This window comes from Homo sapiens, chromosome 15 (assembly GCF_000001405.40).
Source record: "Homo sapiens chromosome 15, GRCh38.p14 Primary Assembly".
Classification (NCBI taxonomy): domain Eukaryota; kingdom Metazoa; phylum Chordata; class Mammalia; order Primates; family Hominidae; genus Homo; species Homo sapiens.
Genome location: NC_000015.10, coordinates 101,736,792 through 101,761,283, shown reverse-complemented (window position 1 = coordinate 101,761,283; position 24,492 = coordinate 101,736,792). Strand labels below are relative to the sequence as shown.

At 50.1% G+C, this 24,492-nt stretch overlaps 1 pseudogene across 1 annotated transcript, besides 1 other annotated feature; it reads left to right on the top strand.

The window, feature by feature from the left end:
- Positions 14,495 to 14,865: a silencer, noted in NCBI's record as "fragment chr15:102286622-102286992 (GRCh37/hg19 assembly coordinates)". NCBI's record gives its function as "represses an EF-1alpha promoter that drives an FKBP-Casp9 reporter gene in an ReSE screen in K562 erythroleukemia cells {active_cell/tissue: K562}" and the evidence as "EXISTENCE:reporter gene assay evidence [ECO:0000049][PMID:32094911]".
- Positions 15,546 to 24,190, top strand: UBE2Q2P13 (UBE2Q2 pseudogene 13; annotated as a pseudogene). Its single transcript, NR_168283.1, has 3 exons — positions 15,546 to 15,649; positions 16,688 to 16,843; positions 23,915 to 24,190. The product of NR_168283.1 is annotated as a UBE2Q2 pseudogene 13 (transcript).
- The last annotated feature ends 302 nt before the right edge of the window (positions 24,191 to 24,492 follow it).

Here is a 24,492-nt window from a genome sequence, read left to right as displayed (position 1 = left end):
GAGTGTCTTCTCGTTCCCACGCGAGTACAGGTTGGACAGCAGCTCTGAGAAGATGAACTCCTTGGTCTGCCTGCTCTGCCAACGCCTCCACGAGTGTCTTCTTGTTCCCACGCGAGTGCAGGTTGGACAGCAGCTCTGAGAAGCAGCATCTCGTCGCACCGCTGTGCCTGCTCTGCCGACTCCTCCACAAGTGTCTGCAGGTTCCGACGCGAGTACAGGTTGGACAGCAGCTCCGAGAAGATGAACTCCTTGGTCTGCCTGCTCTGCCGACTCCTCCAGGAGTGTCTTCTTCTTCCCACGCGAGTCTCGTCACACCTCTGTGCCTGCTCTGCCGACTCCTCCATGAGTGTCTTCTCGTTCCCACGCGAGTGCAGTTTGGACAGCAGCTCTGAGAAGATGAACTCCTTGGTCTGCCTGCTCTGCCGACGCCTCCACGAGTGTCTTCTCGTTCCCACGCGAGTGCAGGTTGGACAGCAGCTCTGAGAAGATGAACTCCTTGGTCTGCCTTCTCTGCCGACGCCTTCACGAGTGTCTTCTCATTCCCACGCGAGTGCAGGTTGGACAGCAGCTCTGAGAAGATGAACTCCTTGGTCTGCCTGCTCTGCCGACGCCTCCACGAGTGTCTGCTCGTTCCCACGTGAGTACAGGTTGGACAGCAGCTCTGAGAAGATGAACTCCTTGGTCTGCCTGCTCTGCCGACGCCTCCACGAGTGTCTTCTCGTTCCCACGCCAGTGCAGGTTGGACAGCAGCTCTGAGAAGCAGCATCTCGTCGCACCGCTGTGCCTGCTCTGCCGACTCCTCCACAAGTGTCTGCAGGTTCCGATGCGAGTACAGGTTGGACAGCAGCTCCGAGAAGATGAACTCCTTGGTCTGCCTGCTCTGCCGACTCCTCCAGGAGTGTCTTCTTCTTCCCACGCGAGTCTCGTCACGCCGCTGTGCCTGCTCGGCCGACTCCTCCATGAGTGTCTTCTCGTTCCCACGCGAGTGCAGGTTGGACAGCAGCTCTGAGAAGATGAACTCCTTGGTCTGCCTGCTCTGCCGACGCCTCCACGAGTGTCTTCTCGTTCCCACGCGAGTACAGGTTGGACAGCAGCTCTGAGAAGATGAACTCCTTGGTCTGCCTGCTCTGCCAACGCCTCCACGAGTGTCTTCTCGTTCCCACGCGAGTGCAGGTTGGACAGCAGCTCTGAGAAGCAGCATCTCGTCGCACCGCTGTGCCTGCTCTGCCGACTCCTCCACAAGTGTCTGCAGGTTCCGACGCGAGTACAGGTTGGACAGCAGCTCCGAGAAGATGAACTCCTTGGTCTGCCTGCTCTACCGACTAGTCCAGGAGTGTCTTCTTCTTCCCACGCGAGTCTCGTCACACCGCTGTGCCTGCTCTGCCGACTCCTCCATGAGTGTCTTCTCGTTCCCACGCGAGTGCAGGTTGGACAGCAGCTCTGAGAAGATGAACTCCTTGGTCTGCCTGCTCTGCCGACGCCTCCACGAGTGTCTTCTCGTTCCCACGCGAGTACAGGTTGGACAGCAGCTCTGAGAAGATGAACTCCTTGGTCTGCCTGCTCTGCCGACGCCTCCACGAGTGTCTGCAGGTTCCGACGCGAGTACAGGTTGGACAGCAGCTCCGAGAAGATGAACTCCTTGGTCTGCCTGCTCTGCCGACTCCTCCAGGAGTGTCTTCTTCTTCCCACGCGAGTCTCGTCACACCTCTGTGCCTGCTCTGCCGACTCCTCCATGAGTGTCTTCTCGTTCCCACGCGAGTGCAGTTTGGACAGCAGCTCTGAGAAGATGAACTCCTTGGTCTGCCTGCTCTGCCGACGCCTCCACGAGTGTCTTCTCGTTCCCACGCGAGTGCAGGTTGGACAGCAGCTCTGAGAAGATGAACTCCTTGGTCTGCCTTCTCTGCCGACGCCTTCACGAGTGTCTTCTCATTCCCACGCGAGTGCAGGTTGGACAGCAGCTCTGAGAAGATGAATTCCTTGGTCTGCCTGCTCTGCCAACGCCTCCACGAGTGTCTGCTCGTTCCCACGCGAGTACAGGTTGGACAGCAGCTCTGAGAAGATGAACTCCTTGGTCTGCCTGCTCTGCCGATGCCTCCACGAGTGTCTTCTCGTTCCCACGCCAGTGCAGGTTGGACAGCAGCTCTGAGAAGCAGCATCTCGTCGCACCGCTGTGCCTGCTCTGCCGACTCCTCCACAAGTGTCTGCAGGTTCCGACGCGAGTACAGGTTGGACAGCAGCTCCGAGAAGATGAACTCCTTGGTCTGCCTGCTCTGCCGACTCCTCCAGGAGTGTCTTCTTCTTCCCACGCGAGTCTCGTCACGCCGCTGTGCCTGCTCGGCCGACTCCTCCATGAGTGTCTTCTCGTTCCCACGCGAGTGCAGGTTGGACAGCAGCTCTGAGAAGATGAACTCCTTGGTCTGCCTGCTCTGCCGACGCCTCCACGAGTGTCTTCTCGTTCCCACGCGAGTACAGGTTGGACAGCAGCTCTGAGAAGATGAACTCCTTGGTCTGCCTGCTCTGCCGACGCCTCCACGAGTGTCTTCTGGTTCCCACGCGAGTGCAGGTTGGACAGCAGCTCTGAGAAGCAGCATCTCGTCGCACCGCTGTGCCTGCTCTGCCGACTCCTCCACAAGTGTCTGCAGGTTCCGACGCGAGTACAGGTTGGACAGCAGCTCCGAGAAGATGAACTCCTTGCTCTGCCTGCTCTGCCGACTCCTCCAGGAATGTCTTCTTCTTCCCACGCGAGTCTCGTCACGCCGCTGTGCCTGCTCTGCCGACTCCTACATGAGTGTCTTCTCGTTCCCACGCGAGTGCAGGTTGGACAGCAGCTCTGAGAAGATGAACTCCTTGGTCTGCCTGCTCTGCCGACGCCTCCACGAGTGTCTTCTCGTTCCCACGCGAGTACAGGTTGGACAGCAGCTCTGAGAAGATGAACTCCTTTGGTCTGCCTGCTCTGCCAACGCCTCCACGAGTGTCTTCTTGTTCCCACGCGAGTGCAGGTTGGACAGCAGCTCTGAGAAGCAGCATCTCGTCGCACCGCTGTGCCTGCTCTGCCGACTCCTCCACAAGTGTCTGCAGGTTCCGACGCGAGTACAGGTTGGACAGCAGCTCCGAGAAGATGAACTCCTTGGTCTGCCTGCTCTGCCGACTCCTCCAGGAGTGTCTTCTTCTTCCCACGCGAGTCTCGTCACGCCGCTGTGCCTGCTCGGCCGACTCCTCCATGAGTGTCTTCTCGTTCCCACGCGAGTGCAGGTTGGACAGCAGCTCTGAGAAGATGAACTCCTTGGTCTGCCTGCTCTGCCGACGCCTCCACGAGTGTCTTCTCGTTCCCACGCGAGTGCAGGTTGGACAGCAGCTCTGAGAAGATGAACTCCTTGGTCTGCCTGCTCTGCCGACGCCTCCACGAGTGTCTTCTCGTTCCCACGCCAGTGCAGGTTGGACAGCATCTCTGAGAAGCAGCATCTCGTCGCACCGCTGTGCCTGCTCTGCCGACTCCTCCACAAGTGTCTGCAGGTTCCGACGCGAGTATAGGTTGGACAGCAGCTCCGAGAAGATGAACTCCTTGATCTGCCTGCTCTGCCGACTCCTCCAGGAGTGTCTTCTTCTTCCCATGCGAGTCTCGTCACGCCGCTGTGCCTGCTCGGCCGACTCCTCCATGAGTGTCTTCTCGTTCCCACGCGAGTGCAGGTTGGACAGCAGCTCTGAGAAGATGAACTCCTTGGTCTGCCTGCTCTGCCGACGCCTCCACGAGTGTCTTCTCGTTCCCACGCGAGTACAGGTTGGACAGCAGCTCTGAGAAGATGAACTCCTTGGTCTGCCTGCTCTGCCGACGCCTCCACGAGTGTCTTCTCGTTCCCACGCGAGTACAGGTTGGACAGAAGCTCTGAGAAGATGAACTCCTTGGTCTGCCTGCTCTGCCGACGCCTCCACGAGTGTCTGCAGGTTCCGACGCGAGTACAGGTTGGACAGCAGCTCCGAGAAGATGAACTCCTTGGTCTGCCTGCTCTGCCGACTCCTCCAGGAGTGTCTTCTTCTTCCCACGCGAGTCTCGTCACACCTCTGTGCCTGCTCTGCCGACTCCTCCATGAGTGTCTTCTCGTTCCCACGCGAGTGCAGTTTGGACAGCAGCTCTGAGAAGATGAACTCCTTGGTCTGCCTGCTCTGCCGACGCCTCCACGAGTGTCTTCTCGTTCCCACGCGAGTGCAGGTTGGACAGCAGCTCTGAGAAGATGAACTCCTTGGTCTGCCTGCTCTGCCAACGCCTCCACGAGTGTCTGCTCGTTCCCACGCGAGTACAGGTTGGACAGCAGCTCTGAGAAGATGAACTCCTTGGTCTGCCTGCTCTGCCGACGCCTCCACGAGTGTCTTCTCGTTGCCACGCCAGTGCAGGTTGGACAGCAGCTCTGAGAAGCAGCATCTCGTCGCACCGCTGTGCCTGCTCTGCCGACTCCTCCACAAGTGTCTGCAGGTTCCGACGCGAGTACAGGTTGGACAGCAGCTCCGAGAAGATGAACTCCTTGGTCTGCCTGCTCTGCCGACTCCTCCAGGAGTGTCTTCTTCTTCCCACGCGAGTCTCGTCACACCTCTGTGCCTGCTCTGCCGACTCCTCCATGAGTGTCTTCTCGTTCCCACGCGAGTGCAGTTTGGACAGCAGCTCTGAGAAGATGAACTCCTTGGTCTGCCTGCTCTGCCGACGCCTCCACGAGTGTCTTCTCGTTCCCACGCGAGTGCAGGTTGGACAGCAGCTCTGAGAAGATGAACTCCTTGGTCTGCCTTCTCTGCCGACGCCTTCACGAGTGTCTTCTCATTCCCACGCGAGTGCAGGTTGGACAGCAGCTCTGAGAAGATGAACTCCTTGGTCTGCCTGCTCTGCCGACGCCTCCACGAGTGTCTGCTCGTTCCCACGTGAGTACAGGTTGGACAGCAGCTCTGAGAAGATGAACTCCTTGGTCTGCCTGCTCTGCCGACGCCTCCACGAGTGTCTTCTCGTTCCCACGCCAGTGCAGGTTGGACAGCAGCTCTGAGAAGCAGCATCTCGTCGCACCGCTGTGCCTGCTCTGCCGACTCCTCCACAAGTGTCTGCAGGTTCCGACGCGAGTACAGGTTGGACAGCAGCTCCGAGAAGATGAACTCCTTGGTCTGCCTGCTCTGCCGACTCCTCCAGGAGTGTCTTCTTCTTCCCACGCGAGTCTCGTCACGCCGCTGTGCCTGCTCGGCCGACTCCTCCATGAGTGTCTTCTCGTTCCCACGCGAGTGCAGGTTGGACAGCAGCTCTGAGAAGATGAACTCCTTGGTCTGCCTGCTCTGCCGACGCCTCCACGAGTGTCTTCTCGTTCCCACGCGAGTGCAGGTTGGACAGCAGCTCTGAGATGAACTCCTTGGTCTGCCTGCTCTGCCGACGCCTCCACGAGTGTCTGCAGGTTCCGACGCGAGTACAGGTTGGACAGCAGCTCCGAGAAGATGAACTCCTTGGTCTGCCTGCTCTGCCGACTCCTCCAGGAGTGTCTTCTTCTTCCCACGCGAGTCTCGTCACACCTCTGTGCCTGCTCTGCCGACTCCTCCATGAGTGTCTTCTCGTTCCCACGCGAGTGCAGTTTGGACAGCAGCTCTGAGAAGATGAACTCCTTGGTCTGCCTGCTCTGCCGACGCCTCCACGAGTGTCTTCTCGTTCCCACGCGAGTGCAGGTTGGACAGCAGCTCTGAGAAGATGAACTCCTTGGTCTGCCTGCTCTGCCAACGCCTCCACGAGTGTCTGCTCGTTCCCACGCGAGTACAGGTTGGACAGCAGCTCTGAGAAGATGAACTCCTTGGTCTGCCTGCTCTGCCGACGCCTCCACGAGTGTCTTCTCGTTCCCACGCCAGTGCAGGTTGGACAGCAGCTCTGAGAAGCAGCATCTCGTCGCACCGCTGTGCCTGCTCTGCCGACGCCTCCACGAGTGTCTGCAGGTTCCGACGCGAGTACAGGTTGGACAGCAGCTCCGAGAAGATGAACTTCTTGGTCTGCCTGCTCTGCCGACTCCTCCAGGAGTGTCTTCTTCTTCCCACGCGAGTCTCGTCACACCTCTGTGCCTGCTCTGCCGACTCCTCCATGAGTGTCTTCTCGTTCCCACGCGAGTGCAGTTTGGACAGCAGCTCTGAGAAGATGAACTCCTTGGTCTGCCTGCTCTGCCGACGCCTCCACGAGTGTCTTCTCGTTCCCACGCGAGTGCAGGTTGGACAGCAGCTCTGAGAAGATGAACTCCTTGGTCTGCCTGCTCTGCCAACGCCTCCACGAGTGTCTGCTCGTTCCCACGCGAGTACAGGTTGGACAGCAGCTCTGAGAAGATGAACTCCTTGGTCTGCCTGCTCTGCCGACGCCTCCACGAGTGTCTTCTCGTTCCCAAGCCAGTGCAGGTTGGACAGCATCTCTGAGAAGCAGCATCTCGTCGCACCGCTGTGCCTGCTCTGCCGACTCCTCCACAAGTGTCTGCAGGTTCCGACGCGAGTACAGGTTGGACAGCAGCTCCGAGAAGATGAACTCCTTGATCTGCCTGCTCTGCCGACTCCTCCAGGAGTGTCTTCTTCTTCCCATGCGAGTCTCGTCACGCCGCTGTGCCTGCTCGGCCGACTCCTCCATGAGTGTCTTCTCGTTCCCACGCGAGTGCAGGTTGGACAGCAGGTCTGAGAAGATGAACTCCTTGGTCTGCCTGCTCTGCCGACGCCTCCACGAGTGTCTTCTCGTTCCCACGCGAGTACAGGTTGGACAGCAGCTCTGAGAAGATGAACTCCTTGGTCTGCCTGCTCTGCCGACGCCTCCACGAGTGTCTTCTTGTTCCCAAGCGAGTGCAGGTTGGACAGCAGCTCTGAGAAGCAGCATCTCGTCGCACCGCTGTGCCTGCTCTGCCGACTCCTCCACAAGTGTCTGCAGGTTCCGACGCGAGTACAGGTTGGACAGCAGCTCCGAGAAGATGAACTCCTTGGTCTGCCTGCTCTGCCGACTCCTCCAGGAGTGTCTTCTTCTTCCCACGCGAGTCTCGTCACACCGCTGTGCCTGCTCTGCCGACTCCTCCATGAGTGTCTTCTCGTTCCCACGCGAGTGCAGTTTGGACAGCAGCTCTGAGAAGATGAACTCCTTGGTCTGCCTGCTCTGCCGACGCCTCCACGAGTGTCTTCTCGTTCCCACGCGAGTGCAGGTTGGACAGCAGCTCTGAGAAGATGAACTCCTTGGTCTGCCTGCTCTGCCGACGCCTCCACGAGTGTCTTCTCGTTCCCACGCGAGGACAGGTTGGACGGCAGCTCTGAGAAGATGAACTCCTTGGTCTGCCTGCTCTGCCGACGCCTCCACGAGTGTCTTCTCGTTCCCACGCCAGTGCAGGTTGGACAGCAGCTCTGAGAAGCAGCATCTTGTCGCACCGCTGTGCCTGCTCTGCCGACTCCTCCACAAGTGTCTGCAGGTTCCGACGCGAGTACAGGTTGGACAGCAGCTCCGAGAAGATGAACTCCTTGGTCTGCCTGCTCTGCCGACTCCTCCAGGAGTGTCTTCTTCTTCCCACGCGAGTCTCGTCACGCCGCTGTGCCTGCTCGGCCGACTCCTCCATGAGTGTCTTCTCGTTCCCACGCGAGTGCAGGTTGGACAGCAGCTCTGAGAAGATGAACTCCTTGGTCTGCCTGCTCTGCCGACGCCTCCACGAGTGTCTTCTCGTTCCCACGCCAGTGCAGGTTGGACAGCAGCTCTGAGAAGCAGCATCTCGTCGCACCGCTGTGCCTGCTCTGCCGACTCCTCCACAAGTGTCTGCAGGTTCCGACGCGAGTACAGGTTGGACAGCAGCTCCGAGAAGATGAACTCCTTGGTCTGCCTGCTCTGCCGACTCCTCCAGGAGTGTCTTCTTCTTCCCACGCGAGTCTCGTCACGCCGCTGTGCCTGCTCGGCCGACTCCTCCATGAGTGTCTTCTCGTTCCCACGCGAGTGCAGGTTGGACAGCAGCTCTGAGAAGATGAACTCCTTGGTCTGCCTGCTCTGCCGACGCCTCCACGAGTGTCTTCTCGTTCCCACGCGAGTGCAGGTTGGACAGCAGCTCTGAGAAGATGAACTCCTTGGTCTGCCTGCTCTGCCGACGCCTCCACGAGTGTCTTCTCGTTCCCACGCGAGTACAGGTTGGACAGCAGCTCTGAGAAGATGAACTCCTTGGTCTGCCTGCTCTGCCGACGCCTCCACGAGTGTCTTCTCGTTCCCACGCGAGTACAGGTTGGACAGAAGCTCTGAGAAGATGAACTCCTTGGTCTGCCTGCTCTGCCGACGCCTCCACGAGTGTCTTCTCGTTCCCACGCGAGTGCAGGTTGGACAGCAGCTCTGAGAAGATGAACTCCTTGGTCTGCCTGCTCTGCCGACGCCTCCACGAGTGTCTTCTCGTTCCCACGCGAGTACAGGTTGGACAGCAGCTCTGAGAAGATGAACTCCTTGGTCTGCCTGCTCTGCCGACGCCTCCACGAGTGTCTTCTTGTTCCCACGCGAGTGCAGGTTGGACAGCAGCTCTGAGAAGCAGCATCTCGTCGCACCGCTGTGCCTGCTCTGCCGACTCCTCCATGAGTGTCTTCTCGTTCCCACGCAAGTGCAGTTTGGACAGCAGCTCTGAGAAGATGAACTCCTTGGTCTGCCTGCTCTGCCGACGCCTCCACGAGTGTCTTCTCGTTCCCACGCGAGTGCAGGTTGGACAGCAGCTCTGAGAAGCAGCATCTCGTCGCGCCGCTGTGCCTGCTCTGCCGACTCCTCCAGGAGTGTCTCCTTGTTCCCACGCGAGTACAGGTTGGACAGCAGCTCTGAGAAGATGAACTCCTTGGTCTGAGAGTGGGCAAAGAAGGAAGGAGTTTGGGTCCTGATGCCCGTGCTGCCCTGGCCTCCCGCTGGCGCCTGCTGGGACTGTGTGCTGGAGTTGAAGCCCTGAGTATGGCTTTTCAGATGTGGCTTCTACACAGCTTAAACTCAAAGATCTGCCTCCCCATTGCCCTTTTCTCACTCAGATAGGGACGCTGAGGTCCAGAGGAAAGGTCGCCTGTGCAAGTCACAGATCTGGGAGGGGACCCTGGACCTATCATGCTACCAGGACACCTGTCTACTCAGGTTTTTCAAATTTTTTTTGGAGATAGGATCTCACTCTGTCGCTAGGCTGGAGTATAGAGGGCGAGATCACCGCTCACTGCATCCTCAACCTCTTGGGCTCAAAGTGATCCTCTAATGTCAGCCTGTCGAGTAGCTAGGACTATAGGCACGTGCCACCACCAAGCCCAGCTATTTTTAAAATTTTTGTGTAGAGGCCAGGTCTCACTATGTTGCCCAGGCTGGTCTCGAACTCCTGGGCTCAAGCTATCCTCCCGCCTTGGCCTCCCAAAGTGCTGGGATTACAGGCATGGACCACTGTCCTCAGTCCCATGTTATATTTCTATGAGACAGCTCTGGTCTGGACCATGCCTCCCTCCCTGGACCTGGTCCCATAGGGCTGGTCAGCATCTCCCCCAGGCCAACATGGCCACCTGCATCCCCAGTGCCACAGGAGCCGCCTACCCCCATGAGGCGGTGCATGCACATTGTAGATCATGATGTGCATGATGGTCTTGGGCTTCGCACCAACCATGAGGTTCCACACGGTCTTGTTGACAATGGCCATGTAGGAGTCCACCAGGTTCTGGGTGGTTTCCATTTGCCGCTCCAGCTGTGGGTCCATGGAGTGCATGAAGCTGTGGGAGCCATTCTCCTCAGCCTTGCTGTCCTGTCACGGAGAATGCAAGCGCATCAGGGTGGCCAGGCCATGCAGCCAGGCTCCAGCAATCCCTAGGATCTCAGTCCCTCCAAGGGTACCTGGAACATTGAAGCACAGAGAAAGGCAACTGGCCTGAACACACACCCAGGTCCCCACATGCTCTAGATGGTTTCAGGCCTCTGCCTCTCAGGACCCCAGACTCCCCTGATTCAAGTCTCATCTTAGTCCTGACTCTAGTGCCCAGAATTTGCCTCAAGTTACCAATCCAGAAATTGGAAAAGAACATCTCCAGGTACCTTGCTTGAAGACCTGGCCAGAGCTTGCGCCAGGCTGCAGATGCCTGGCAGGAAGCAAGAAAAGGGCATACTCACTTTCCCCTTGTCCTAGGAGGCCCATGCACCAACATTGCCACCGCCGCTGCCACCAGGGAACAGAGCAAAGTAGACACACACAGACAAGAAAACGGGAAGGGTTGAGTGAACCTGGGACACTGCACCCCAACTTTAATGTGTTGTTGAATTCAATTAGCTAATATTTTGTTGAGGATTTTTGCATCAATATTCATCAGTGATCCTGGCCTGTAGTTTTCTTTTTTGGATGTATCTTTAGTTTTGGTATCAGGGTAATACTAGCCTTGTAGAATGAGTTTGGAAGTATTCCCTCCTTCTCTATTTTTGGAATCGTTTGGGTAAGGTTGGTATTAGTTCTTCTTTAAATGTTTGCTAGAATTCAGCAGTGAATCATCAGGTCCCAGGCTTTTCTTTGCTGGGAGACTTTTCATTACTGCTTCGATCCCATTATTTGTTGTTGGTCTGTTCTGGCTTTGGATTTCATCCCGGTTCAGTCTTGGTAGTCTGGATGTGTCTGGAAATTTATCCATTTTTAGTAGGTTTTCCCATTTGTTTGCATATAGTTGCTGATAATAGCCACTAGTGATCCTTTGAGTTTTTGTGGTATCAGTTGTCATGTTTCCTTTTGTTTGTCAATGTTATCTTTTTAAAAAAATAATTTTTTTTTTTGAGATGGAATCTTGCTTTGTCACCCAGGCTGGAGTGCAATGGCACAATCCTGGCTCACTGCAACCTCTGCCTCCCAGGTTCAAGTGATTCTCCTGCCTCAGCCTCCTGAGTAGCTGGGATTACAGGCGCGTACCACCACCCTGGGTAATTTTTCTATTTTTAGTAGAGACATGGTTTCACCATGTTGATCAGGCTGGTATTGAACTCCTGACCTCATAAGGTACCCACTTCGGCCCCGCAAAGTGCTGGGGTTACAGGCATGAGAATCCGTGCCCAGCCCACATTTTGTTTTTAAATTTTACTTATTTACTTGTTTTTCTCTTTTGCAAACAGGGTCTCATTCTGTTGCCCAGGCTGGAGTGCAGTGGTGCAATCATGGGCTCACTGTAACCTTGAACACCTAAACTCAAGAGATCCTCCCGTCTCAGCCTCATGAGTAGCTAGGACTACATGCCTGCACCACCACACCTGGCTAATTTTTCTAGTTTTTGTAGAGAAAGGGTTTTGCTATGTTGCCCAGGCTGGTCTTGAACTCCTGGCCTCAAGCAATCCTCCTGCCTTGGCCTCCCAAAGTGCCAGGATTACAGGCATGAGCCACCATGCTGGGTCTATACATTTTCTTTTCCATGTTATATAAAGTATTCTGTATGCATCCTTCTGGAATTTGTTTTTCTCACAATATTATATTGCTAAAGTTCTTATTGTTGTTTATTGCTGGCGTTCATTCTTTTTGACTGCTTGTGAAATCACCAGAAGATAGACATCCTGAGATCTCTTAAGAACTGCTGCTGGGAGTATACACTGGTATGACCACTTTGGAAAACAGTTTGGCTCCATCTCATAAGGTTCAATATTCACACTCCTCCTAGCCCAGTAATTCTACTCTACGTGGAAGAGAAATTCTTGCCTATATAAAACAGGGGATGTGGACAAGGAATGTTCCTAACAGCTCTGTTCAAAATAGCAAAAACCTATTGCCCATCAACTGGAGAGTAGGTGACTAAATTGTGCTTTTTATTCCCTTTGATTTCCTGTAGTCTTACAATGCGAGTGGCTTTCCCATGGCTAGCTTGGGGAGGGGGATACTCTTGGCAACTGAGTCTGTGGTGGCAGCCCTGCTTAGCCCTAGGGCAATCGGTGCTGACCAAAACAAGAGTAAACAGAACAAGGTGCCCCACTGAGCCAATGCCTTGAGTCCCTGGAGGTACAGTCTTGTATCTGTAGGAAATAGCCATCATACAAATCAGTCTTTTCAAATGCTCTGTCATTTGAAAGGCTGAGTCCAAAGGACATTCTCCTTTAAAACATTATAAAGTTTACTGAGGCTACCATTTATCGAGCAGTTATCATGTGCCTGATCATGTACTAGTGTACTAATTGCATGCATTATTTTATTATTTTATTTATTTACTTATTCATTTATTTGAGATAGGGTCTCTCTCTGTTTCCTGGGCGGGAGTGCAGTGGTGCAATCACAGCTCACTGCAGCCTCAAGCTCCTGGGCTCAAGTGGTCTCACCTCAGCCTCTCGAGTAGCTGGACTGTAGGCCCAAGCCACCAAGTCCAGCTAATTTTTTAAAAAAACATTTTCATAGAAATGTGGTCTGGCTTTGTTGCCCAGGCTAGTCTCAAACTCCTGGCTTCAAGCGATCCTCCTCCTTCAGCCTTATTATTGCATTTAATCGTCACCATCACCCTGTAAGAGTGGCTGGGGGTAGGTGCTCCACACAGTAGCAATGTAGCAACCTCCACTCATAGGTGACAATGAGACTCAGTGTAGTCAAGCAACTTCTCAAAGGTCACACAGCTGGAGGGTGGCTGAGCCAGGATGAAGACCTAGGACTCGAAAGCTGGTGCACCAGTAAATGAGAAAATCTCTGGGGGTTCAGGATCGCTTCCTCCCAACAAATCTTTCTCCAAAGGTTCTAAAAACAATAACAGATCCATCTTTCATAAAGCAAACAAAACTAGCAGCCCCTTCATTTTAGAGGGGGGAGGGGGGATAAAGGTTAGCTAAGCTCCAGGGCATCCCATTTTAATCCTACACATTTATCAGGCAACTGCCAGCACAGCACCCCAAACCTAAAGAACCATGCACAGCTGTCTCTGTGGGGCATGGCGTGTCCACGGACGTAAAGATTGTCCAATGTGTGTTTACAGGCCAGTGGCATCACCCTCAGTCACAGCTTAAACGGCAGCTAGGCCTGGCCTGCTAGGCACCACCGTGAGAATCTGCTGAGTTTTCCAACTAGTTTATCTACTGTTTGCAATGAAAGACGCCCTGAAAAGAAGGGGTGTGGGTGGGAAGAGTTCTGATTTGAGGTGCCCTGATCCAGCACGATCTCCTTCCCCAGTCACAGGAATCAGAGGACTCCATCTGTAAACACAGCCTCAAGCTCTGTCCCCCAACCCCCTCTTTCAACCAGGTGCCACCCTCTGCTTCTCTTCCATAGACAGCCTAGGCTGCCAGCATTCCCTTAGGATCTGTGCCCTCGGGCCTAGCTTAATTTTTTCCTCTCCAAAGAGTCATCTGTAGGGCCAGAAGCCAGCAAAGCCTAACTCATTACTGGACGGCAGTTCCTCTGCCTTTCACTGATTCCTACCTTACCCTGGGGTTTTACGTTTCTTGTCTCAACACTAACATTTCTCACTCCTCCACAAGTTGAATTGCTCACTCCAGCCAACTGAAGCATGCTCTTCTTGACACAGTTAGCTCTCGGCACATGGTCGGTGCTAAAAAAAAAATGAGCATTATGTCAATTTCATTGATCAACAAAAGTGATGCCTCCACTGCAAAGTCAAGTTGATAGTGCCTGGGCCTCTGAGTTCAAGAGCCTTCTAGACAAAGCGCTCTGAGCTGAAACATGAGCATGCACACATATGCATCTCTCTCGGTCTCATGAGATAATCTGGATACTTGGTTGTTATCCTTGAGCATTTTCCTACCTCATTAATGCACGTGTAGCCAACACAATAATTATCATAGCTAATAACGGCTAAAGCTGAGGACTTTCCTGAGCCAGGCAGTGGCTTTAAAAACTTTAATGTTTTCACAGACTCTCATTGAATAATTTCTGTTTTTCAGATCAAGAAACTGAGACTTACTATCACATTTGGGATTAAGTTTAAAAAAAAGAAAGAAACTGAGGCTTAAAGTTGTCTAGTATTTCACAGTCAGCAAATGGCAAAGTTGGAAATTGAACCAGGCAGTAGAGCCCCAGGATCCTGTGCCTTTACCCATTACCTAGTGTTGGCTACACAAAACTAGTGTGTACACAACTTCAACTATAGTTTAAGCTATAGTTTAAGTGGGTGACATATTTTTCACTACACTTTATGTAGGTGACTTTCAGTTTGGGGGTATTCTACTTATGCAATCTATTGAGGTGGATATTAACTGAGAACAAATAGAAACTAATGAACTCTGAAAAACATAAAACATGAGCAACATGATGTCACCGCAAAACACAAAACAGCCCACAGCCTTCTTGTGACTGCATTTTGCTGACAGTCCACGACCTAATAATCAACCTGAACTCAGCAGTGCTCTGTTCCCTTGGGAGACACACACACACACACTCGGGAGAAACACACACACTACAGTTGGTGGTTGTGCCGCCCTGAGCCTCCAGTAGGCGAGTGTGAGGAATGTAGGGACTAGATGGGTCGGGCAGAAAGGTGCTGGGTCAAGGGGAGGAGGGGGCAGCCGGGAGCGCGCGCACGCTCTGGACTCGTGCAACCGCCAAAACGGGTGCGCGCCGGGTTGAGGGGTGACAGGGAAGGTGGCAGGGTTGGGGCAGCCCTTTCCCAGGCGGTAGCGGGGACGGTGGTGCTGTTGTCCTTTTTCTTTTTCTTTTTTTTTTTTTTTGAGACGGAGTCTCGCTCTGTCGCCCAGGCTGGAGTGCGGTGGCGCGATCTCGGCTCACTGCAAGCTCCGCCTCCCGGGTTCGCGCCATTCTCCTGCCCCAGCCTCCCGAGTAGCTGGGACCACAGGCGCCCGCCACCGCGCCCGGCTCATTTTTTGTATTTTTAGTAGAGACGGGGTTTCCCCGTGTTAGCCAGGATGGTCTCGATCTCCTGACCTCGTGATCCGCCCGCCTCGGCCTCCCAAAGTGCTAGGATTACAGGCGTGAGCCACCGCGCCCGGCTAATTTTTTGTATTTTTAGTGGAGACGGGGTTTCCCCGTGTTAGCCGGGATGGTCTCGATCTCCTGACCTCGTGATCCGCCCGCCTCGGCCTCCCAAAGTGCTGGGATGACAGGCGGGAGCCCCCGCGCCCGGCCGCTGTTGCCCTTTTAAGCTGAGGCTTGACAGGAGCCGCCCCTCCTATCGGTGGCGTCGGTCGCAAAGGGAGCAGCCCCCGAGGCCGCCGCGCAGCTCCCCGCCGAGGCCTCGGTGCCCCTTCCCATTTTCCATCCGCGCTCCCACGAAGGTTGAGGCGGCGGGGAGAGGCGAAGCCGCGAGCGCTCGGCCGGGCGGTCCCGCTGGGTGGTCGCAGCCATGACAGCGGCTCCCCTTCCGCGCCCCTCCCGCCGGAGATGAGGGAAGATGTCCCTGTCAGGGTTAAGGCCAAGCTGAAGTTGCTGGCGTCTACCTTCCACAAGAACCAGGAGCCGCAGCCGCGGCTCACGCTCCACTGCAACAGACGGTGGGGCGCGCGGCGGCGGCCTCGCAGGGCAGGGCGGGGGCGCAGATGGGGGAGTCTCGGGACCAACGGCAGCCTAACGGGTAGAGGCCCCGGGTCCCCGCCCCTTCCTCCCTCAGCTGGCCCCGCCCCGCCCCCGGGACTGCGCGAGGCTTGGGTGGGAGGAGGCGGAGGGCGCGTCTCTCCGGCTCCTGGCGCGGGGCTGACTCGGGGGCCGCTGGCCCCTCTTGGCCGCCGTCGCCACGCACCGAGGTGGGAGCCCGCGGCGGCCGGAGCCCTCTTGGGACCCATGGTCGCCCTCAGTCAGCGGGACTGCTCCCGGGACCGCGACGGGGCGGGGCGGGGCGCTCCAGCGTCGTTTGAGCCCAGGCGCGGAAGGGAAAAGGCCTCTGAGATGCTCGCGTTTTTTGCCTGGGCGCGGTGGCGCACGCCTGTAATCCCAGCACTTTGGGAGGCCGAGGCGGGCGGATCTCCTGAGGTCAGGAGTTCGAGACCAGCGTGGCCAACATGGTCAAACCGCGTTTCTACTAAAAACTACAAAAATTAGCCGGGCGTGGTGGCAGGCGCCTTAATCCCAGCTACTTGGGAGGCAGAGGCAGGAGAATCGTTTGAACCCGGGAGGCGGAGGTTGCAGTGAGCCCAGATTAAGCCATTGCACTCAAACCTGGGGGACAAGAGCGAGACTTCTCTCAAAAAAAAAAAAAAGTTTTTTTTTCTTTTCTTTTTTTTTTTTGAGACAGTCTCATTGTCGCCCAGGCTGGAGTGCAGTGGTGGGATCTCGGCTCACTGCAGCCTATGTCTCTTGACAGTCCACGGGTTAAAGCGATTCTCCTGCCTCAGCCTCCCCAGTAGCTGGATTACAGGCCCCGCCACCAAGGCTGGTGAACTTTTGTGTTTTTAGTAGAGAGGGGGTTTCACCGTGTTGGCCAGGCTGGTCTCGAACTCCTGACCTCAAATGACCCACCTCTGCCTCCCAAAGTGCTGGGATTCCAGGCGTGAGCCACCGCGCCGGGACCCAAGGCCCTTAAGTTTTAAGGCCTCATTCTTCAGTCAGGTTTTCCCTGTTCCCGCGTGTTCGGCCAATTTTTTGTTGTTGTTTTGTTTTTGTTTTTGTTTTTGAGTCAATTTTCCAGACATCTTTAATTAGCAATATGTTTAAGTAGTTACAAGCCTTTCCTTCTTTTCTTGTGACAGTTTGGGTTGAATTTCTATCGTTTGCAGCCTGTCACTGTAAGGCACAAACATGATCACGCAAGATGCGATAGTAGATTTAAGCCAGTTGTTTTTAAGTTTGTGTTTAAGGAGAAACTAACAATGAAAACGGCCTCGTTGACGGAGGAAAAGTTGGAATGCAGCCTCTGGTGCTGTTTGAGCGATCCCTCTCCCCGGGGCCTGGCCGCGCGCTGCTGTGTTCTGGAAGGGCTCATTGTACAGTCAAGGCGGCAGGTAAGAGTCCCGTACAGGTGTCTGCCCGCTTTTCCTTTCAGGCTTCTGTGTGAGCTGTTTTTCCCCTGTAGGATGCGTCCCTGACCTCCACCCCTTCACCCTACCCAATTTGTCTTTACATGTCTGACCATCAAGGCTCTCCTGGGTCATATTCAGTTCATGCTGATATTTTCCCTTCCTCCCCTCTTTGGTCCTCACTATTTTTGCTTTGGTCATGTTATGCTATATTCTGTAGGCCTTTTTAATTTTTTTTTTATGGTGGCAGGGGAAAATATTTTATAATTATGCTTTGTGCTTTTTATCTTCCAGTCAGTAAATGCTTGGTAAATATTTGTTTTATTGAGTATATGACCCTATTCTAGCTATATCGTGCTTGAACAGAAATCTTAACTGCCTTGAAAGTTAACTGCTAAGAATTTGTCAAAAGTGCAGAGCTACATCAAGAACTTGTCATGGATAGTACAAAAAGGTCTCTAAGGGCTTGAAGGAAGTCTGTAAATTGATTTCATATGAGAGCGTAAGAAGTGAAAATGTAAAGCATGACTGGAGAGCCAGAGAGATAAAGCAAGGGTCCCTTTCTCCAGATCCTTTGTAACAGTATTATGTGATCTCTTTTAGAAATCACTCTGAAAGATAATGCCAACTCGGAACCTAGGAAACCATCCAGTGGGTTTCTGCAGGTTAGGTGGTTCAATTCCTCATCAGCACCTTTGTTTTCTCTGCCTCAGTTTGCTTACAATGATGTTCTCAGTAGCTGTAATTGCTGTCTGTCTTTGAATGCTTAAGCATTTTTTTTTAGCTCACAGCGGTATATGTGCATTTTTATTTAACCAAGTGTTAGAATTTTTACTCTGCTGTTGTGGGCTCTGGGTTAGCTACTTTGGTTGTTTAGTTGTAAAATGATTAGCAGGGAAAACTGTGTGTGAGAGAGAGAGTGTGTGTGTGTGTGTGTTTTAAGTTTCTTTTGTTGTCAGAGCACTTAGAATTTTATTTTATATGGTAATTCTGTCAGTTTACTTTATTCTCCACCCCACATTTATTGAACAGCAAAGTGTGAAAGTAATGTGTCCCATAACTAGCTTTCAGAAGAATTACAACTGCTGTATATCTGAACTTTTTCTTTTCTTTTCTTTTAAGACGGATTCTCACTCTGTCACCCAGGCTGGAGTGCAGTGGCACGATCTGGTCTCACTGCAACCTCCGCCACCCAGGTTCAAGCGATTCTCCTGCCTCAGCCTCCCGAGTAGCTGGGATTACAGGCACCTGCCACCCCACCTGGCTAAGTTTTGTGGTTTTAGTAGAGACGGGGTTCACCATCTTGGCCAGGCTGGTTTTGAACTCCTGACCTCGTGATCCACCTGCCTCTGCCTCCTAAAATGCTGGGATTACAGGCGTGAGCCACTGTGCCTGGCTGAACTTTCAAGAAGAAGTTTGTGCATCAATTTTCAAATAATTATGATATCAAAAGAGAGCTGTGTCCTACATTTGGAAAGATACAAAAACTGAACCTTCTGGCAGGCAGTTTTGCTTGCTGGAGCTTGAGATAGAGCCACACATTGGCCTCAGTGGATTTATGGAGAAAAATAGATACAGAAAGTTAATTCTAAATAAGACCAAAAAATCCTTTTCTTGAGCAGTGACAGGTAAAGAGGTTGTCTTGGTTAACCTTGAAATGTGTTGCCCTTGATCAAGACAGTTTTATGGTGGGGATGGTAGTGGAGATAAACTTGTTGGAAATTTGTCCACTTATAGTAACCTTTGTGGTAGCCATCACAGACAACTTCATCCTCACAGGCCTTAAAATTACTATAAAACTGATAGAATGGAGGAGAAACAAGGGACCTGAATAATTAGATGCTTAGATAATTGTAATGTGTTTTCATAACTGGTGAAAAACAGCAGTGTTAGAAGCACTTAAACATTCTATGTAAGGAACACTGCCTGAATTTATATTGCGGTTTTTGAGCACCATTCGCTGTTTAAAAACTGGCCTATTTTAGGTCATATTTTGAAGACAAATAGAAAACTTACCTTTTCAAGGTGGATATAAAGCTTAACCTTATCAAAATTACAAAATTTAAAGCATATGATTGAAAAATATTAATGCATAGGTTTAAATATTGGTCATCATTTTAGATGTCTTTCAAAATAGATTGTCTCTTAAATATTAAACTGAACAAACTTTGAACATGTTGTAGAGTTTGTGCTGAAGGTTAAGTTTCCTGGGGTGGTGGATCTTTTATAATATGGATAACAAAACCTTATTTTAAGAAATTTAGAAAATTTTTAGGCAAAACTAGAAAATATTACTGATAATTCTACCACTCAGAAGGTACCACTATCAGAATTTTGTATTTTTCCAGTCATCTGCTCATCTCTTTTCTCCTATGCTTGTATATGTTCCCTCTCCCTTGAAAAATCAGATTTTTTTTGTAATCTGCTTTTTCACTCAACAATATTGTAGATCCGTGTCGTAACTTACTCCTCTGCAGTGGCTTCAGTTATTGTGCGCTTTCTGTTGGATGATTATACCATCTAGCCCGTCATGTTTCCTGGTACTGAATACATAGGCTGTATGTGTGTGTGTGTGTGTGTGTTTCTACCTTAACTAATGCTTTAGACATCAATAGGTAGAGCTGAATCCTTGAAACCTTCCAAGTGGTGGCTTTCAGTTCTCATTGCTGAATTGGTTTCTAGAGATGGAACAAATTATATTATATGGAAACTTTTTTTTTGAGACAAAGTCTCACTCTTGTCACCCAGGCTGCCGTGCAATGGTGTGATCTCAGCTCACTGCAACCTCTGCCTCCCAGGTTCAAGCAATTCTCCTGCCTCAGCTGCCCAAGTAGATGGGATTACAGGTGCCTGCCACCACACCCAGCTAATTTTTGTATTTTTAGTGGAGACGGGGTTTCACCATATTGGCCAGGCTGGTCTCAAACTCCTGACCTCAGGTGATCTGTCTGCCTCGGCCTCTCAAAGTGCTGGGATTACAGATGTAAGCCCCCACACCCGGCCTTTTTTTCTTCTAGGTACCAGCTTTTATTTATCAGTTTGGTAAAAATGTTAGAAAATGGGCATTCTCACAGTTGTGGCAGAAAGTATAATTATCTTTGACTTTCTAGAAAGCAGTTTGGCTTTCTAGAAACTTGCCTAACCTCTCCCCATTTAGGCAAGATGAATTCTGACTATCCCAAGGTAGCCAGCCTTGCCCCTGTGATTCCAATCTCCCAGAAAGAGAGGGCTAGTCTCAGAGAAAACCCAGATTTTCTTGGCTTAGCCCACCTTGACAGCTAATCACTGGAAATGGGGTGGGCTGGTAAAGTCCTTTGGTTAGGTTTTGTGTCAAGAGAGGGAGGTGGAAAGATGGGAGGGAGGTAGCAAAACTGGCCTCAGTGGAACTCTGTAAGTTAATATGGAATGGCAAAGGGATGTTTCTTCCCAGGAAGAAATTCTAGGGAAGGAAGGAAAGTGGAGGGGAAGGCAGCAGTTCTCAAAGTTTTGGAATCAGGACTCCTTTATACTCTTAAAAATATATTGAGGGCCCAAGGAGCTTTGGTTTATGTAGGTTATATCTATTGGTATTTATCACTAGAAATTAAATCAGAAATATTTAAACTATTCTTTAAAAGCTCACCACATATTGTTATAAATGCTTTTATGAAAACATTTCTAAACCAAAAGTAGCACAGTCTTACATTTTTTGCAAATTTCTTTGATGTTTGGTATGTCATTTTCATCTGCATTCAATTTATTGTGTGATATTTGCTTTAAAAAACATGAACAATGTCCAATCTTATACAGATAGCCATTTTAGATCATTGTGGAGATATATATATATATTTTTTTTTAATTTTTTTTGAGATGGGGTCTTGCTGTGTTGCCCAGGCTGGAATGCAGCGGTGTGATCACAGCTCACTGCAGCCTTAGTCTCCGGGGACTCAGGTGATCCTCCCACCTCAGCCTCCAGAGTAGTTGGGACTACAGGTGTGTATCACCACACCTGGCTAATTTTTTGTATCTTTTTGTAGAGACAGGGTTTTGCCATGTTGCCTAGGCTTCTTTTTTGATACTCCATCAAAACTTGGTTTTTCTTGAACTTTGGATCTTTTACCTTTGCATGATATTACAACATCATGCATTGGTCATTTAGAAAATAATGGTTCAAGATCTTCTACATGTTGATACGTTTGATTATACAATATCAAAATACATTCATCAATATCACCATCAATCTCATCAGAATACTTTTGGAAAGCTATGGTGGATATAAGTTTTCTAAAACTAATTTTTTGTTCAAAAGCTTGAATTTTATTATTAGCAATTTTATTATTGAATTTTATTATGGCCTGCCTGTTGTTTTTCTTGAAATGACAGAATCTCATTTTTTTGAGAAAATGTCTCCCAAAAACCCAAGTTGAAATAACATTGTTTGTCAGTCATCCTTTCAAGTAAAAATGGTATTCCATTAAAGTGGTTAATTCACTTCACGACTTAGTCACACGAGGGTTTTTTCTCAGGCAGTCTGTAGAAATGCTCATGTGTACTTCCAATTTCATCACTTGAAATATTAAAAAGACATATTCAAGGATAAAAATGTAGTAAAATTTTCACTGATTCATCATAGACATTCTTTTTATTTTTGAGACAGGGCCTTATTCTGTCACCCAGGCTGGAGTGCAGTAGCATGATCACAGCTCACTGTAGCCTCCACCTTCTGGGCTCAATCAATCCTCCTGCCTCAGCCTTCTAAGTAGCTGGGACTACAGGCATACAACCACCATGTCCAGCTAAATTTTGTATTTTTTGTAAAGATAGGGTTTCACCATGTTGGCCAGGCTGGTCTCAAACTCCTGACCTCAGGTGATCCACCTGCCTCCACCTCCCAAAGTGCTGGGATTACAGGCGTGAGACACCATGCCCAGCCTGCCCTTCCTTTTTAAACCTTTCCTGTGCATAGTGAAGAATACCATGACTAGTTTGGTGTTACTGCCTCTGTTTGTGCTAAAGTACCAGCATTTTTACCCACTATTGTATTTGCACCCTTAAAGCAAATGTCACCATGTTAGTGTTCCTGTTAAAATAGTTTGGACCTGGGCATCTGAGGGCCCCACTTTGGGAACCGTTGAAATAGGTAGTTAAACCTACTATATATCATATCTTTTCATCTACAAGATTTTTAAAAACATGATTTCAGTTCATTTATTTTTATAATTTTTAAAATATGGTTTTGAGGGGTTTCAGTCCAGAATAACAACACGTATTTTATTTTGCTTATGCTGAAGTTTACTAGACAAATACTAACCTAATAGAATGAGGTCCTAAATCTAGTTGCAGTTTCTTTAGCCAAAAAAAAAAAAAAAAAAAAACAACCCAAAACTAAACACATAAAAATGGTCCATAGGGTGTATTCCCAATGCATGTTGAAGAATTTGAAGAAGAAAATGCAATACTCAGTAAGTGGTGTTCTTCATGAATAGGATTAATTCTGAAGAGTTTCTTTTAGCCTGTAAAGAGATTTGGGACATAGTAAGAGAGGAATGAGAAGAATGAGAATAGTAAAATAAACCATTATTGAAGAGATATACTGTTAATGATGTCCTCCTTCCAGAAAACTTGTTTTTCTTTTTTCTTTTTTTTGGGGGGTGGACAGAGTCTTTCTCTGTCACCAGGCTGGAGTGCAGTGGTGCAATCTCAGGTCACTGCAACCTCTGCTTCCCTGGTTCAAGTGATTCCCCTGTGTCAGCCTCCTGAGTAGCTGGGACTACAGGCGCATGCCATCACGCCCCGCTAATTTTTTTTTTATTTTAGTAGAGACAGGGTTTCTTGATCAAGACAGGATGGTCTTGATCTCCTGACCTCGTGATCCACCCACCTCGGCCTCCCAGAATGCTGGGATTACAGGCATGAGCCATCACGCCCGGCCAACTTGTTTTTCTTAAAAGAACCTTTGGTAAATAATTGGTTTCTGTGGCTTCAGCTATAATTCAGATTACAGTTTTCAAAGCAGTGTTTCCTAAAGTTTGTGCGAAATTGTTTTCCATGACTTGAACCTAGTTGTTGTGAAGCTAATATATAATAATAATGGCTTCTCCCCAATTTATAATAGGAAACAGTAGAAAGTAACAGAGTAAATGTCTGTTAGTGGTAAAAGCACATAATGCTTAGTTCATTAGCTTTTTAAAAAAAATCACATGTAATTGTGTTCCAAAAATACATGTATAGCAATGGCATTTCTTGGTATTACTTGGTTTGTGTGATAGAATAAAATATTAGAATTTTATGGTGTTTGAATTAGTTATCTATTGCTCTGTAACAAATTTAGCAGCTTAAAACAACAAACATTATCTCACAGTTTCTGTGGGTCAGGATTCTGTGCAGTTTACCTTGGGTTCACTTGCTTGGCCTCTCACCAGGCAGTGAAGGTGTTGGTGGCGGCTATGATCATCCCAAGGCAGGATAGGGAGGGAATCCATCTCCAAGCTCACTCACGTATATGTTGGCAGGATTTATCTCACAGGCTGTTGTACTGGGCCTCTGTTTCTAGATGACTATTGGTCAGAGGGCTTTTACAATACCTTGTCACGTGGGCCTCTCCATAGGGCACCTCATCACATGGCAACTGGCTTCCATCAGAGGGAGCAATGGAAAGAGCAGGAGAAGGGTGACCAAGGCAGGCATCGTTTTGTCCTTGTAGCCTCATCTCAGAAGTGATGTTATTACTTCTGTTGCATTCTCTTTGTTAGAAGTGAGTCACTAGGTCCAGAGGTGGGAATTTTACAAGGGTGTGAATGCCAGGAGGTGAGGGTGATTGGGGCCATTTAGAGGCTGCCTACCAGTGCTGAAGAAAATTATTGACTTCTATGAGCTGTAGTAGCAGACAGTGCTATGCAAAGAGAATGGCTGCCTCAAAAGTCCAACTCCTCACATTGGTTTTAATGTGTTGCCTTTTCCCCCCCATACATTTTGTTTAAATCCATGTTAATCTTGCCATTTAGTGGTGTGGTTTAATTGCATATTTGGGTTAGTCTGTATGTAAATGTTTAACATAGGTGTCTCTGTGCTAAACAGGAATCCTCTTCATCTTTCTCACCAATATGTTTTGTGGACTCTGACGAGCCAAATCTGACATCAGTTCTGGAACATCTAGAAGATACTAAGAACAACCATTCAGTGAAGAGAGAAGCCAAGCTATTTTCTCTTTTCCTCATGAACATTATATTTAGAAATTAAATGTTAAGAGATAATATGATATAATGTTAAGAGATAATATGATATAAAAGCATGATTAATGACTATAATCTTAGAGGAATTAAAGTCTGGGTATTTTAAGTCCTTCAAATCTTATTTACTACCTGGTTTCTCTTTATTATTTCCCACATGTATAACCTTAGTTTAGATTAGGAATTCAAGATCTCCTTTTCCTGAATGCTAACCATTAAGCCAAGCAAGCATTTTGGGTAGAGATGACTAGCCAAGGTGGGAGGTAGAAAAAAGACCAAGGTGGAACTGAAGGGAGAGATGGGTAGAGTCACACCAGAACTAGTGCGAGGGAATTGCCTTTTCTTTCAAGGGTCTGTAAGTCTGCAGTAAAAGTCAAAGGTATTTAAATAGAAAGTTTTGTTTTTGTTTTTAGTATATAAAGAAGT